Source organism: Homo sapiens, chromosome 3 (genome assembly GCF_000001405.40).
Source record: "Homo sapiens chromosome 3, GRCh38.p14 Primary Assembly".
Classification (NCBI taxonomy): Eukaryota; Metazoa; Chordata; class Mammalia; order Primates; family Hominidae; genus Homo; species Homo sapiens.
In genome coordinates this window covers 164,984,725-165,002,815 of record NC_000003.12, presented here as the reverse complement: position 1 = coordinate 165,002,815, position 18,091 = coordinate 164,984,725, and the positions used below count along the sequence as shown (strand labels likewise).

Below are 18,091 nucleotides of genomic sequence, written 5' to 3'. Positions count from 1 at the left end.
CTTATATTTTTCATATGTTTCAGATACTTTCTTAATATTTTAATTTTTTCAGTTACAAAAAACTGCTGAACTCGGAAAATTTTAGAGATTAAATAATTAATTACATGTATAAAGACCTTGACAAATGTAAAAAAACACTATAAATAAGGTACATGTTACATTTAAGCAAATTATGAAGAGTAAAGTCTTTCTGTTTATCATTGAGGAAAACTGAACAAATTATAAACACACGTTTTTTTCTCAAGTTATACAGACCATAGCATTTTGTTTTTTAGTGACTTATTTTCTGTCTTACAAACTGCCACATATTTGACATTTAGCTATTTCTTGCTACTGTGTTCTTTCACTTAACATGAAACAAACAAGAAGCAACGAAAGAATAGCATGCATGGATTCAGAAATGGGATTTAATCAGCTTGAGAAATTGCAGATAGTTTTACACAAAGAATCATGGACACTAATGGCAAATAAAAAAAGCTTCATATAGAAATCCTGCACAAAAAGTTTTGAGTCTTCAATTGCTCTCATCTCTTGTAATTTGAAATTCAATGTTGTATTGAAATAAAGCCTATTCTTCAAATGTAGAAAGAAATACATTCAAAAATCTACTTCAAATTATGGGTTCAAATTTCGGACAAATATTCAAGGATTATGTAACTACACATATATTATTTTCATTTTTACCAAAAGCTTTAAAGATGTTAGGGATTAGTACCTACTATTCATTAGAGAGGACTTAGAAAATTAAACATCTTTGACTCCCTCTGAATGCTTAGGTTGTGTTTTAATATACAATTTTTAAATAAGTGCCCAAGAGTTTTGTAATCATAAAATGGAATGGAAAAAGTCAATATTTATAAATTATTTTTGCAGATATTCTTATAAACTGGGATAATTTGCAACTTGGAAAATTATATTTAATGTAACTTTCTGGAAAAATAAGAGTGCCTTTTTGAAGTGGGGGCATTGTAAACTATAGGAAGTGGTCTCTTGTATATTTTTTTTAATAAACAAAAACTAGTCTATGAAAAAACAAACACAGTATACCTCACCTCATTCACTAATTTAGAAGTTACTTTAGTTATAGCTGTAACTTTCTATTAATCAGCTGTTCGTCTCAAGACCGGATAGTAAATGCATGTCTTTCAGACATTAGATTCTGAATGATATAGATGAATAGAACATTGATACAATTGGTATATCAAAATATAAAATTTGAGATATGAATCTATAAAACTCTTTCCATGATATAGTGTTTCACATTGTCTTCTTGCTAAAGGAAATTTCAAATTTCATTAATTTGTTATACACTAAAACATAATTAAAATATTTTAGCCTACAAAATACTTATCCAATTTCAAAATTAAAACAGATATTACATTTTCTGATCTAATGGTGACTATTTGAAATGTGAGTTGGGAAAATTTATATTTCTAACAAATACTAAATATATTGCCTTCAAAAATAATTCAATAAAATATCTTTGAGTTTTCAAAGAGTTGTTTTCATGAAAATGAGGATAACAATTCTGTAATAACTTTCTTTTCTCTACTATACAGCAGTCTGTATTCTAAAATAATTTAACACCATCCAATCATGAGAACACCGTCCAGTCATGAGATAGAAGTGTTTGGAAAATGTTTATAAATTGATTTCATCAGTAATTGAAGATAATAGTCACATTAATTAATTTAACATTTTCTTTTAGAAACTATGACTAAAATAAAGATATTAATTATTGGAAGATTAAAAATATGTTTTAAATTTTTAAATTTAATATTCTCTTCACATATTTCATTTTTGTAATATATATGTAGAGTTTCTGGTTTTACTTCTATAAAAAACTTTTTTATAATAATTGAAGATATATTCTAATTTTTAAAATATATTTCAAGAAAATGCTCCTGTAGGCAATAATAAACACACAACAAAAATATCTCTTTCTTATAAGCTGAACTCTCCAATGTCAAGTGGTAACAAAGAACAAACTCTTCTGGCTTAAAGCTGTTTCTCAAGAATAACTTAAACTAAGTTAATTGTGACTGAACAATTTGTAAAATTGAAACAGTGTTGGAAATAATTAGAATATATTTACCGTGTTTGAACTTTATATCTTTAGTGGCGTCAAATACATATTCTGTGTGAGGGTTTACAGAGGAGATTCCTCTTATATAAGAGTTTAGAATTCCCTTAAGAGAAAATTATTATGAAAATACCTCATTTATTTTATAGTTTTATTTTAATTTACAATTAACAATAGTAAATATGGAGTACATTGTGATGTTTTCATACATTATACAGTGTGAAATGATCAAATAAGGCTAATTAGCTTATTTATCTTCTCAGATATTTATCATTTATTTGTAGTGAGAACATTTAAAATTCTTTCTTTTAGCTATTCTGAAATATACAATATATTAACTATGGTCATCTTGCTAAATTTATTCTTCCTATCTAACTGTAACTTTGTGCCCATTGTGTGAAACTACTTTATGTAGAATCCTTATCAACCTGATAAGCATATATTCAGCTATTAATTTAAAGTATCAGTAAAGAAGTTTTTCAAGTGTAAGATATATAATAGAGAAAAAAAAGAAATCCTCCAGAAACATAATTTTCTTTCATGTGAACACGTGAAGAATTTGTGACAACACTGTCCTTGTAAATAATTTTTATATTAAACAAAACTAATTTTGTTTGCAAATGAACTGAACTCCAAAAATACATTTTCATATAGATTTATAGAATTATCACCAATTATTACTCTTCATATTTATATATTTATTTCTTATTAAATTTCAAAAAAATATATGTAATGTATATTTAAAAGATTAATATTCCTAAATGGCCATTTTATATTTGTTATGAAAAAATAAAGCAGTGAAGATCATTTTCTTTTATTGGTTTTTTAAAAGAGTGACAATTTAGAAGTAGAACATTTTAAGTTAACTAACACAATATTGCCTTTATTAGCAAGTGATGGTTCAATATGTTATGTCTGTTTAACACATTTTTAGTTGCTTGCACTTTTGACTTGAGACATTTGTTAATTCCGAACTTTCTTGAGCTACTATTACATGCCAAGCATTGCATTAGATATAAGGGATGCAAGGAAGATTAAAGTATAGCACTTGATTTTAGGAATCTCAAGGTGTCATGGAAGGAGCTTTATATACATACAAACACTGGGATCCTGCTGTAACAAGGAAATGACTCAATACTTTTGATAATGTGTTAGTGTCCAGTAAAGTCTGCCTAATTATGTATTTGTGGTATCTTCTTCTAAGATAGTTCTGTAGCTCTTATTCATATTCAAATTATTTGAGTAATATAAAAATAAAATTTTTATTTCCAACTAATATTAGAGTAAAACTTTATTGATACTCTTATAATATAATCTGTGTTCAGTCAGAGAGAAAGGCAGAGGGAAAAGAAAGGGAGATAGAAGAAAACAGATGAAGATGATATAAAAATACTTATTTTTTTTCTAAAACTAGAACATATTTTAACATGCATGTCATTAAATTCATTCTCCAAAGACTGAGAAGGGAAATAAATCATATGATTTCATTTACACAACCCATTCTGTTGAGAAGAACTTACTCCCAATAGATTCTACACTTGAAATGGAGCAATTCTTTTTAGTTTTAAGACCCGAGAATACTTTGCTCTCTTCAAATTAAACCTTTAAAGCAAAGAGTATGATAGTAGGCATTGTCTGCACAGTAATATGTACATTAAGTGTTGATATGTTACAGTTGAGAGGCGTTGGGGCAATGAATAGTTAGAGCATAAGCCTTTATTAAAAATACATTAAAGTAAAATAAAAAGCTCAATGTGATGAATTTGTTGATTTCATTCAATTAATAGTTGATTTAACTTGTATTCATTGAAGGAATATATAAAGGCCTCTTAATATCTGCATGTCACTCTGGTAAATGTTGGAAGGGAAAAAGACGTCCTTTATGTTTTGAGGATTTTATAATTTAATGAGAGAAGACAAACTTATCAAGAGCCAGTTGTAATAAATGACAATATAAGCACCACAAATCACTATTTTTTTTTACAAAGTAGTCGTAAGTAGATATATTTGGAGAAAATATCTCATGTAAAAACTCAAAAATACTTCTCTACTATATTAGTGCATTGCAGAAGACAACTGGAAAAAGAGGGATTGTAATTTCTCGTTCCACGTATCCTACTAGTGGACGATGGGGAGGACACTGGCTTGGAGACAACTATGCACGATGGGACAACATGGACAAATCAATCATTGGTAAGTGAAAGTCACCATCTTTATTATTATTTTGTGTTTTCTATTAGATACTCACTTTTGCTGGTGCTAGGTCATAACATTTATAAGTCCTCAGAATTTTGTTCTTCACATCGTACTTTATGTCATATAGCATCAGAAAAAGACAGTGGGCCAGGAAGCTGGATTGAGGGTGCTGTGTAGAAACTAATGATCTTCAATTAGTTTATTTTGAGGAAATGGTGTCATTGTTATTGGCCTGAGTTTCCTTACTGAAAAGGGCAGTAGCTGGCAAAGATAAGGTCTAGAGCTAATAGAGAGAAATGAATAGAAATTCTAGATTTCATAGCTATTATTAAAAAGTCAAAAAATAACAGATGCTTTCAAGATTGTTGAGAAAAGTTGACATATATACTGTTGGTAGTAGTGTAAATTAATTAAACTATTGTGAAAAGCAGTATGATGATTCCTCAAACAGCTAAAAACAGAATGACCATTCAACCCCAAAATCCCATTAGTGGTTATATACCCAGAGGAATAGAAATGATCCTACCATAAAGACATGCACAAGAAGGTTCATTACAACACTATTCACAAAAGACACTCTTCGACAAAGACATGGAATTCGCCAGTTCGCTATTCACCAAAGACATGGAATCAGCCTAAATGCCCATGAATGGTAGACTGAATAAAGAAAATGTGGTACATATACACCATGGAATATATACAGCCATAAAAAATGAGATCATGACCTTTCAAGGGACATGGATGGAGCTGGAGGCCATTATCTTAAGCAAACTAACAGAGGAACAGAAAACAAAATACCACATATTCTAACTTATAACTGGGAGCTAAACACTGTGTACACATGGACACAAAGAAGGGAACAACAGACACCAGGGCCTATATGAAGTTGTGGCGTGGGAGGAGGGTGAGGATTGAGTAACAGCCTGTCAAGTACTATGCTTATTATCTGGGTGACAAAATAATCTGTACACAAAACCCCTGTGACAAGCAAGTTACCTAAATAATACACCTGCAAATGTACTTCTGAAACTGAAATTTAAAAGATTCTAGATTCTAGGGAATATAAATCACTGATAGATGCTAAAAAAAAAAAAGAAACATTTCGAACCAAATTTGGAAAGAAATTTGTGACAATAGTAGAATAAGTGCTAAATAAGACATTACCATTTTAATAGGGAAATAGATACTTTTGTGCTCTATATTTAGTCTTAAAATTTGTTCACCATTGATAAATAAATTCAAGGAAAACAATTAATTCTTAGAAATATTCCTTTAAAATAAGAGCTCAGAAATCATATTCATTGTATTTTATAGAATTGATTACTCCTTAAAGGATTTGTTTAATAAGAATGGTTCAGTTTTTTTCAAATGATAGACTGAAACCAGTTGAACCTATAGTTCAATCAGACCTATAGTTAAGTAACTGCAGAAATAGCATATTTATTTTCAAAAATGAAACTGTGGACACCACTTTCTTCTCACACTATAATGTGTTTATAATGTATTTGTTGTCTGAATATGTCACCTTGCAAGTGTCAAGGAAGCTTATAGTATCTTATTTTTGTAAATATCATAAATGCTACAAAGTCAAAATGTGTGAGCATTATGAGAAGCATTATGAGATAATTATATTAATAATCTGAAAAATGTTTCAGGTTTGGAGGTTGATATTAAAAACAGAACATCATCATAAATAGAAATAAAAAACAATATTAAAATATATGAAATAATAACTTTCTAAGATATTTTTTCTAACTTTTTCAGGTATGATGGAATTTAGTCTGTTTGGAATGTCATATGTAAGTAGTTTTATTCCTTTTATCTTCATAAATTATAAACATTCATAAACTATTCAAATTTAACTAAATATAACAATATATTTTAGACTGGAGCAGACATCTGTGGTTTTTTCAACAACTCAGAATATCATCTCTGTACCCGCTGGATGCAACTTGGAGCATTTTATCCATACTCAAGGAATCACAACATTGCAAATACTAGAGTATGTAATTACTACATTTACTTTCAGTATTTTCTTACTTGGGCTATGCTTCATTATACTTTAGTGTACATGGCTTGGTTAGCTGGTATATTTATTGATGTTATATATAATTTTGGAGTAGTGAGGAAATTGTCTGGAGGAACTTTTTTTGAGTATCTGGGGAGACATTACTAAAAATTATGGAAGAGTAGGAACAGTTAGAGCCAATATCTAAATAAGCACTAAATTTCATGATGCTGACTTTCAGTGAAGAAATGCAGAAAAATGATAAATTAGCAAAATGCGCATGATGGACAGGTTAAAGACAGAGCTGGCCTTTAAAAGATGTGCTCTGCCTATAGTAAGTAAATGGCAGAGCTCGTGATGTGCTGTGAAATCTACATGGTCCCCGCACTGGAAACTTGGGTAGAAATAGAGAGTAGGATTTATTTTAGAAAATGCTGAAATACAAGGATTGTAGGCAGAACGGAACCACGTTTGAAAGAATTTGAAAGCTGGACAATAGAGACATAACTTGATGAAACAGTAATATCTCAACAGGAAAATTTGCTGTCAATAATGCAATTTAGAAAGCTGTAATATTGGGAAAGTAGAGCATGAATCAATGAAAGCTTGGGGAGAGATTCATTATTGAGAATATACTATTTCATATTTACGAAGTCCTTGCTCAAATGATTTATATATTCTAAAAAGGGATATAAATAATAGACCATTTTATATGTAATAGGTCAGATACAAATAAATGTCTATAAGGGAAAATAGATTAAACTAAAGTGATGGAGTTTTATAGAGATTCTGCTTTAGGAAAAGTGCTCAGAAAGGTATTAAATGAAGGAATACTAGAGCTGAGATGGGTGTGGGGAACAGTAACCAATATAAACGTATGGAGAATTCCACATGGGAGCAACAAAGTAAAATACCCAATGATTGTAATGTGGTTGGTGTTTTTAAGGAAAATTCAAATGCAGAAGGAGGGAAAGACTGAGGAAGTATTTCTAAATAAAAATCTAGAGGATAGAAAACTCTACTTAAGTTTAAATATGAGTTGGTACAAATGAACTATTGAAATGTATTACTCGAATTGTATAGTTTAGAATTAGATGCTTGTGTATCAACATGTTAAAACTAAAATCATATTAATGAGGTCAATAAGCAACAGATATGATCTTTGCCTTTTTTCTTCTTATTTAACTTTGGAAATACCAGCAATAGGATTACATACAGCTTAACAGTTCTTGGACCATTTTTACTTTCAAGATTTTCTGTATTCTAATACTGCATATAACAGCTATGACATGAAATTTTCATTCAAACTTTCTTACTCTTAAAATACAGAAAAATTGGAATCATCATCGATATGACACAACTATAAAGGGCCCCAGTCATGCTGATGTCAACGAAAAACATTTAAATGTTACCTCGAGCTTTGTGATGGCCTTGCTTATTCCCCTGGTGCAGATCAAAATACAAAATAGTAATAACTTTTCTTGCCTATTATTTTTTAACTAATATGTGCAAGAATTTTTTTTGTAGACTTTTAATCTTCCACTCTAAACTTTAGACTAAAAATTTTAGTCTTTTGAGCTGGAGTGTGCATTCCAGAGCATACTCAGGCACATTATTTCCTTTCATTCATCTTTATGCCTTCCCTTCTATCTGTACTATGTATTCTTTAGTATTCTTTAGTACCATAATCTGTTCATTTCTCCTGAGAACCCACAATGTGCATGGTCACCATCATTTGCTCTGCTTGTCTATGTTTATTTCAATCGACTTTGGATAGCCTATCATTTCATTTATCTCCTACACTGATCACTCTAACACTGACTATCACCTAATTGACAACATATTTGTCATCCATTAAAATGTGAACTTTTCTTTGGGTATGTTCACTTAAACTAAATCAAGCCATGGATTTAATTTGAATTTCTCTTATTAAAATGTTGTGTACCTTTTCTCTTTATCATGTGATAGAAATATTATTGTGTAAGATTTTGGGAAGAAAGTACATAGCACATGACAATCAATTAATATCATGTCTTACTTTTTAGTTCTTCAAATATGAATATGAATATTATGACTTAAACAAGGACCAAAGCTTATAACTATGTTATTTTGCTTTGTTTCAGAGACAAGATCCCGCTTCCTGGAATGAAACTTTTGCTGAAATGTCAAGGAATATTCTAAATATTAGATACACCTTATTGCCCTATTTTTACACACAAATGCATGAAATTCATGCTAATGGTGGCACTGTTATCCGACCCCTTTTGCATGAGTAAGTACAAAGTTTGTTTTCTCTTATCACAGAGAGATACTTTTCACTTAATTTACCCAATGATCTCTTATAGTGCAATATAAAATATTTTAGATTGGCAGTTTTTCCATTGTTATATTAGCACACATTTTTTATTAATAAAGCATTTACACAAATATGTCCATTAATAAATAGACTAGCATAAGCCATTAAAGAATGAACCACATTAATTAGTTATTAAAAAGTAATGATTCTATTTCAGAATAATTACTGTATACAAGGTATTGTTCTACATGCTTTGTATATGTGCTTACATTGACTATTCTCAACATTTCCAGGGAGATAAGTAATGCCCCTCATGATTTAATTAATCACGGTTTACTGCAGTTACGTAAATCTACTATATACAGATGTCTTACTGGAGACCATTCCACCTTTTCCTTGATGTATCCCAATGAGATACACAGGAACAGTTTCAACATTATCCTTATAAATTTGTTTTGGATTCACCTCTTAAAGCTCAAACTTTTATATGACCAAATCTTAAAAATTCTATTTCATGGAGCATATTTGCAAAAATTTTCATCCATTTTATTTTTAAGTTGAATACAATCAAATTCTTATTGTAGATATTACAAAAAGCAAAGCATGCAGTCAAACATAAAAACAAAAAAACCCCGAATAATCACAGTATATTTAGCTTTTTGAGCACCCTATATTACCAGAGTAATTGAATGAGATTATTTGTTAGATTTCACTATTGATAAGCCCATTTAAAAAAGGCAAATATTTACCCAAATTAAAACAATACCCAAAGTAAATTTACCAAAATAAGAAGTGAATTGGTATGCCTTCTCTTTTGATGATAGGATAAGCGATCCAGTTTTCCTAAAACAACAACAAAAGATTCTTTCTGGATTCAAATTATGTTCTGGTTGCTTTATTAATTTATCATCTACCATAATCCCTTCTTTATTTCTGATAACATTTTATTGATCTCCTTTTTATTTACAGACTTTACCCCTTTTTGTTATTCTTATTTGCTTCCCAGGATAATGGAGTATCACCTCTGGGCTGAGTCACTAGTCAGAAATATTATTATTAACTATACAGACTGTTGTTCTATTGAGATTACCTCGGTTTCTACTTTCATGAGTTTATGGAGGTGTAAGCCCATCTTTCCAATTCAGCATTAATCTCAGCTTTTAATAAGGCAAAACAAAACCACAACAAAAGAACAAACAAATTTTAAGAAACAGCTTTTCTTTTTCATTTCAATTGGAGAAGAAATGTGAACATTTAATAGTGGCTCTTAAGCCATTAAAAAACAAAACAAAACAAACAAAAAAAAAACCTTTGTTTTTCCTAGCCATTTGCATCTCAAATTCAGAAATCCATTAACATGTTACAGAGCCTTTAGGAACATGTAAATCTACTATTTAGAGAGTTTATTAAGTAAGATAAGCAAACTCTTTTTAAAATTAATGAATTAAAATTCTTACAGTATGTCTCACAATTTTCTTCCAGTGTTTTTAATATGTTTTTTAATTTGTTGATCATATACTAGGCAAAGTTAATATTTGTACCTCTATTAGTTCTCTTCCAAAGTAATTTCTCATTTAGTTGATGTTACATGTCCATCAGAATTCTCTATTTTCTCCGGAAATTTAGTCATAGTCTAGATTTACTCATAAAGTATTATACTGCTGAGCATTGTACTATTACATTCCAACTGATATATTTTTTAATTTTTTTACAGTTTTGTTTTTATTTTAATCCACAAAAGTCCATACTACAAAATGTAATTTGAATAATGATTTTATGGTATTCAGAAGAAAGTTATTTGTTTTAATTTAATTATTTGTGATAATTTTGTCGAGGTTCTTTGATGAAAAACCAACCTGGGATATATTCAAGCAGTTCTTATGGGGTCCAGCATTTATGGTTACCCCAGTACTGGAACCTGTAAGTCCTACCACATATTTTTGTTTACACAATTTTCTTTGGTTTATATACAACTAATGGCTATTTATTTACATTCCAGTATGTTCAAACTGTAAATGCCTACGTCCCCAATGCTCGGTGGTTTGACTACCATACAGTAAGTATTTAAGGAATTCTGGGGAATTAACTAAACAGAAACGGGTAATTGTTTGGCCCTAGCCTTTTCATTAACGGTATGTTGGATTTACTTTCCACTTAAAAAGAGTGGAAAGTAACATATTTCCGGTAAATTATAGCTGAATTGAATTAATCCACAGTGAAAGAGAGTTAATTTATTCTGCTACAGTTTGTTATGTAGTCATTGATTTATTTTAGCAAATAAACATGGTAACTACACATTACATACAAAAAGATAATTGTCTTTTATTGGATATATAAAATGATCATTAAAGGTAGTGCAGTCTTTCTAAGAATAATGTACATGGCAAGTCAAGCAGAGCTTTTGTGACTTTTCAAAAATCCACACACTTTAGGCATGTGAACTCCACAAAAACAACGCTATAAATGATTTTCAAAGCTATCATAAAGACTTATATTTAACTAGATTCTAAAGATATGCTTTTTTAAAAAGTAAATTTCACCATGTATATTTAAGGTATACAACATCATGTTATGAGATATATATATAGTAAAATGGTTACTATAGTGAAACAAATTAAGATTTTCTGAATAAATGTGAATTTTTTAATCTAAAAGTGTATCATTTGATTTTTTAAAATGTATATCCTCAACTACCAGTGTTGCTGATGATTCCATTTCTTGCTCCACCTGTTCTTTCCATCCCTTTCATTTCCAGGGCAAAGATATTGGCGTCAGAGGACAATTTCAAACATTTAATGCTTCTTATGACACAATAAACCTACATGTCCGTGGTGGTCACATCCTACCATGTCAAGAGCCAGCTCAAAACACATTTTACAGGTAAGTGAACTGTTTACAAAGCTCAGGTTAAATTTTGAGATACATCATGCTAGCATTGTTAAGAAATAGAAAGGGTTTGAAATTTTAACCCATCGCCAAGCTAGTACATTAGCCTGCCTCAGTAACATGAATGCCAGGTCAGAGACAAAAGTGTTTGTGGTTTATAGCATAGCAAGAAACAGGAACTTTATCTTAGCATCAGGTTTTCTTTTCCACCAAGTCCCATGGGGATGACATGGAGCGACCCAGGCAGATGTTGCACATGTAGGAGGTCTGTGTCACAAATAAGGAACCCCAGGTTTAGGAAAACCCTGTCTTTAATAAGACTACAAACAAATCTATCCATTATTTGCTTCAAAAAAAATATTATCTTTTTTATATTGGACAGTCAAAAGAAATATTAAGAATTTTTAAAAAGAAACCCTGCCGTCCAATGCTATTCATTTTTTTTTTTACTATACTTTAAGTTTTAGGGTACATGTGCACAACGTGCAGGTTAGTTACATATGTATACATGTGCCATGTTGGTGTGCTGCACCCATTAACTTGTCTTTTTAACATTAGGTATATCTCCTAATGCTATCCCTCCCCCATCCCCCTACCACACAACAGGCCCCGGTGTGTGATGTTCCCCTTCCTGTGTCCATGTGTTCTCATTGTTCAATTCCCACCTATGACTGAGAACATGCGGTGTTTGGTTTTTTGTCCTTGCGACAGTTTGCTGAGAATGATGGTTTCCAGCTTCATCTATGTCCCTACAAAGGATATGAACTCAATTCATTTTTAAAACATCCCTGAAAATACAGCTCAGAAGACAGGCTGTCAATGCCTCTGCCTATGACATATAAAAATGCAAGAGACCCATGGAAAACTGTCTTCCAACAGGATATTCCCTCTTAAAGTAAGAAAGCTTCCCAGATAAAAATATAAATGAAACCTTTATGATCTCTGTCTATAATATGCAGAAAGTAATGACAACTTAATGTCTTATATTTTGAATGGCTGCCTCAACAAGATTTTTACCCTACTTTTCTGTTTCTGACATGTGGAAGATCTAGTATTATGAAGATCACTTTACGAAAACATGAAATATTTATTAACCTGTTTTTCAAAGACTTATTTTTTAGAGCAGTTTTATACAGCAAAATTGAGAAGGTCCAGAGATTTCCCATTTACCCCCTGCTCGCCCACACATGCATAGCCTCTCTCATTTTCAACACCCCCCGTAAAAGTAGCACATTTGTTACAATCATTGAACCAACACTAACACTTATCACCCAAAGACCACAGTTTACATTAGGGTTCACTGTTGATGTTGTAAATTCTCTGGGTCTAAACAAATGTATGATGACCCGCATCCACCACTGGTGTCCTTTAGAATTGTTTTACTGACCTAAACATCCTTTGTGTGCCACCTATTCATTGCTCTTTCAACCCGTGGCAACCACTGATATTTTACTATCTCTGTAATATTGTATTTTCCAGAATGTCATATAGTTGGAATCATACAGTATGTAACATTCAATTTGACTTTTTTTACTTAGTTATATGCATTTAAGATTCCTCCATGAGATACCTGGGTTGTATCTCATTTCTTTTTAGCACTGAATAATATTCCATTTGATGAAGCTTTTTATAAGCTTTAAGTCAGTATTGCTTGGAGGTGTCTCTTTCCTTTCCATTAATTTGCTGTTTCCCTTTCTCTGCCTCTCTTCATCTGTCTTGTGATATATTTCCTGACTCATTATAGTACATGAAAATGTAGACATTCACTGGCAGTATCACTACTCCATCAAACTACTAAGTGTCCTGCTGTCCAAGAGGAACCAGACCTGTTTCTCTTCTCTTCTTTCTCTTCTCATTTCTTCTCTTCTCTTCTCCTCTCTTCTCCTCTCCTCTCCTCTCTTCTTTCTTTCCTTTCTTTCTTTCTTTCTTTCTTTCTTTCTTTCTTTCTTTCTTTCTTCCTTTCTTTCTTTCTTCCTTTCTTTCTTTCTTTCTTCTTTCTCTCTTTTTTTTGACAGAGTCTTGCTCTGTTGCTCAGGCTGGAGTGCACTGCCTTGGCTCACTGCAACCTCCACCTCCTGGGTTCCAGCGATTCCCCTGCCACAGCCTCCCAAGTATCTGGGATTACAGGTGCCTGCCAGACGCCTAGCTAATTTTTGTATTTTTAGTAGAGACGGAGTTTCATCATGTTGGCCAGGCTGGTCTGGAACTCCAGACCTGTTTCTTTTTTTTTTAATTATGTATTTATTTATTTATTTATTATTATTATACTTTAAGTTTTAGGGTACATGTGCACAATGTGCAGGTTAGTTACATATGTATACATGTGCCATCCTGGTGTGCTGCACCCATTAGCTCATCATTTAATGACCTTGTCCCATATAAAGATGAAGGCTATCCCAGATTTCTGTCTATCACCATTTTTATAACTGATTGTCTGGCCAGGCCCTTCTCTTATTTGCCTGAGAACCTCTACCTGGATTTCTGTTTCTCTCCTTCAGCAATATGTCCAATTTACCAGGGACAATGGATCTGCTCTGTCTTCTCAGACTGACATAGGTGTAAATCTCTTATTCCTGTCACAGTCTTTATTTCCATTGCAAAATTCCTTGCTTTGACATTCAAATTCTAGAGGACCCTGTCTCTGTTTTTCTTCTCTTTTTATGCTATATCATCTCTCTTGGTGATGTACATGCTGACAGCCCCTGTTGGCATGAACAGAATCTTCTAATCTACTGGACCCACCCAGGTCCATTTCTACTAATATTCTATCCTGACATCAGTTAAAGAGGAGAGACATTATTGCACCTGAAAAGTGAGGGCTTCATGGAGGAGACCATTCATAAGGTGTGCCTTGAATAATCCTTATTTTTTTATGAGAGAGAAGACAGATCATTGTACAGTATAGAAAGTTGTAAAACTCTTTCTAATCACAAGTTTTAGTATATGTTGGGAAATTGCAGGTTAAGCCATATTTTTGATGTTTCTAAATTATATTTAAACCCCAGTGACTGTGAACTGAAATTCATATACATATTCATGGTAAGGTATGTTAATATATTTCACTGGAAAATATCTAATTACTGTGGAGATTTGAACTCTAGAGATTCTGGAAATTTTAGGAGACTTCCGTGGCTGTACATTCTTCAACATTTGTGATTAGAAAAGGCAGACAGCTAAAACAATTGGTCTGGTAAATTATTTCAAACAATATGAGGCTGCCAAATCAAGTTGCTTCTCAAGGATTGCTGGAGATGTAACATGGAAGCAAGTATTTAGTTCACAAGTAGCCCTATGCAGGAACATGCTTGAAAGGTATTCTCTATTACAGAGATAGAACTTAGAACTTGGAGGCTACTTTATACATTCTTATTAATTATAACCAGTGATAACTCCATGATTTATGTATGGAAATATGAGGAAGGCTTAAGTCAGAAAAGATTTTAAAATGCTATTAAAATTGTTTCATGTTTAATGGTTAATGACAGGATTACCCAAGAGAAGCATGAGTAAATATATGAATAAAATTAATGTGGTTTTAATTACTTTCAATTAGGCCACTTCTGATTTGTTACATTACATGAAACCTTGAGATCAAAAGACATGCATCACATTTCCTATTAAATGTGAAGAATTTTTTTTTTGATGGAGTCTTGCTCTGTCACCAGGCTGGAGTGCAGTGGTGCAATCTCGGCTCACTGGAACCTCCACCTCCCGGGTTCAAGCAATTGCCCTGCCTCAGCCTCCCAAGTAGCTGGGACTACAGGTATCTGCCACCACGCCCAGCTAATTTTTTGTACTTTAGTAGAGACGGAGTTTCCCCATGTTGGGTAGGATGGTCTCGAACTCCTGACCTCATGATCCACCCGCCTTGGCCTCCCAAAGTGCTGGGATTACAGGCGTGAGCCACCGCACCCGGCCTAAATATGAAGAATTTTATTGTTTTATATCATTCCTGTTAACTAATTTAGAAAAATGGAAATGCTTTAATTTTCTTAGTCTAAGTCAGTTTGCACACTCCTTAATGCTTGGGTTCCTATAGATCCTTATGTGGATGTCATATCATAACTAGACATATGCTATTCTACAAACATGGGTAAAATTATATATTTCTTTCTTATAGTCGACAAAAACACATGAAGCTCATTGTTGCTGCAGATGATAATCAGATGGCACAGGGTTCTCTGTTTTGGGATGATGGAGAGAGTATAGGTGAGTGCTCGATTTAGTAGATAAATTTAATTGATGTCGTATTCTATCACATTACTTTTACGTTATCTATTATTGTTCTTTGGAAGCTGAGTACAAAGCTATTAATATTATTCAAGGCTAAAAGATTTTACTAAATTCACTGAATCAACTTAAAGAGATAAACAATGTCGCAAACATTTAAAGACTTCTCTTATCCTAAATATAGTCAATCCCTATGGTAAGTGTCTAGGTAAGAAATTTGTGTGGGCAGAATTATGTATCTATTATCTTTGTACTTTCAGAAGCTAGCACAGTGCTATTCACATAATAGACACTTGGCATATATGTAAAGTTAACTTAGCTGAATAACCACATTATTATATGTGCAAAATATTGATACTATAGTGACAAAAAGGAGTGACACTTTTCCTCATTTATCATAAGGGTCACAGCCAACACCTCTATAACAAAGCACACGTTAACATGAGAAAAGCATAACAAACATATGTAATCATAGTTTTATGTAAAACAGGAACCTTCAGAATAAAGGCCCAAAGATACAGAGAATGCTCTCAGGCTTTATTCTTAGGTTCAATGAAACAGGAACTGCCATGTAGAAATGTGATTGGACAAAAAGTGTATAAGCTAATGGAAACAGATTGAGTGAGGAAATCTAGTAAGGCCTGTCCACATTCTTGTTGGCTTATTAATTGTAGCATTTCTTCCTCTCAGGTATGGGGTAAGACCCCTCTGGAAGGAGGTTGTTAACTTCTTCATGGCCAGCTGTTACACAGAAAAGCAGGAAAAGAGAGTAACATTTCTAGGCTTTATAGCTAGCTTTGGGGGAAAAGGATTCTAGTTTCTGTGACTTGCCTTTGGGAAAAGGAATTCTAGTTTCTATCACTAGAGAGTAAGGAGCAAGAGACAGGAGGGCAGGAGAAGGTCAGAGAGAAACTTTCTTCCAGTGTTGCTTCTGGGACCTTTATTCTGAGAAATCAGTTTTTGAGCCCCCAAAATGTACAAGTGGTGCCTCTACAACAAGGAGGTAGTCCAGAAACCAATCTCAAGTAAATTTGATTTCTGTGTTTTTATATCTACTCTTTTGGCTTGTTTGCTTGTTTTTGGTAGTATTTAGCATTTTTTTACATGAGGAGATATATTTTAATTTAGATCTAGGCTTATTCCATTCATAACTGTTCCTCAAGACCATACTAAACTTCTAAACTCCTAGCCATGTGAAATTCACTAACCGTTGTTATCAGAAACACCTGGGACAGCTTGCTAAGAATGCAGATTATAGGACTCATTCAAGTTTCATTAATTTTAGGAGAAACTCAGAAATCTCCCATAGGAGATTTTTATTCTGTATGTAAACACTGATAGAGGATAGGTTTACTGACTGCTATTTAATAGTGTCAGTACTACTAGATGAGCGTTCTGAACATTTTGTTGACACAAACTTTAATCAAAAAAATTGATATCTGTGTGAAGTTGACAGTTCTCTGCAATTTAAATAACTTATCCGAAGATAATAGTTTTTTCATTAATAGCAAAGACATGCATCTTTTATCTTAAAGGTAAATCATAGTTAATATTCTGCAACCATAAGAAATAATCCATTAGTAAATAAGTGTAATAAAGTTGATATAAGAATTATATGCTAGACAGCAAGACTTTTGGGAAAAATAAATCCCTCTTTTTAACATTTTGTGACTTAGAAAGTGAAGATATCAACACAAGTTAGTCCTTTGCTTTTAGAGCTCTGACCTTCATCACCGCAATGACTGAGGGTCTATGAAGTTTTCAGCCTTTCCCTTTGTGTCCAGCAGGAAATTTGCCTACAATTTCCCAGGGGTGTAAAGTTTAAGTATGCAACTTGGGATCTTTGAATCTCATAATTAACAAATTAAGTTAATTCATTTCATCAGTTAGGCAGACAAAGCTTCTCTTAGAATTTTCTCCAGCTCCTCCTATCCAACTACAGCATCGATGACAACATTTGGTGTGGACTTTACCCTATTCAAGTTTCATGGCAGACTTTTTGTAATCACTGGAAAGTACCTGAGCATAATCCAAATATTTCTCTATGATCTCCTCATGCAAGTATAAAAAATTGTTTTTTGCCAATTGGATCTACTTATTTTGTTATGTTTCACAATATCAGTATATTTGGTATAATTTAGTATAAATATTTTTAAATAGTCCCTTGAAATTTCCTGAGTTAACAGCGAAAACCATATATAGCAAATGCTTATTCTCTGGATTTGTTAGATCAGAATCTCCAAAGAGGTTTTCTCTCACAGCAAACACAACAATCTAGTTGATGGGCATCCAATCTGAAATGATGTCTTTCTTTTAAACAAACATGTTCAAATTTTGTGATATATTATAATGTGGTAACAAATTATCTTGAAATAATTAAAGGTAAATCAAA

General features: G+C 32.2%; 1 protein-coding gene across 4 annotated transcripts in view; it reads left to right on the top strand.

The window, feature by feature from the left end:
• SI (sucrase-isomaltase) overlaps positions 1–18,091 on the top strand; it is a 111,335-nt gene that overhangs the window by 87,417 nt on the left and 5,827 nt on the right. For all 4 annotated transcript variants that reach the window (XM_047448735.1, XM_047448736.1, NM_001041.4 and 1 more), the window contains 8 exons: positions 4,143–4,276; positions 6,044–6,078; positions 6,165–6,281; positions 8,411–8,559; positions 10,419–10,503; positions 10,583–10,639; positions 11,339–11,463; positions 15,590–15,678. In XM_047448735.1, the coding sequence (XP_047304691.1) occupies positions 4,143–4,276; positions 6,044–6,078; positions 6,165–6,281; positions 8,411–8,559; positions 10,419–10,503; positions 10,583–10,639; positions 11,339–11,463; positions 15,590–15,678 (791 nt within the window). The remainder of the gene's footprint in view (positions 1–4,142; positions 4,277–6,043; positions 6,079–6,164; positions 6,282–8,410; positions 8,560–10,418; positions 10,504–10,582; positions 10,640–11,338; positions 11,464–15,589; positions 15,679–18,091) is intronic.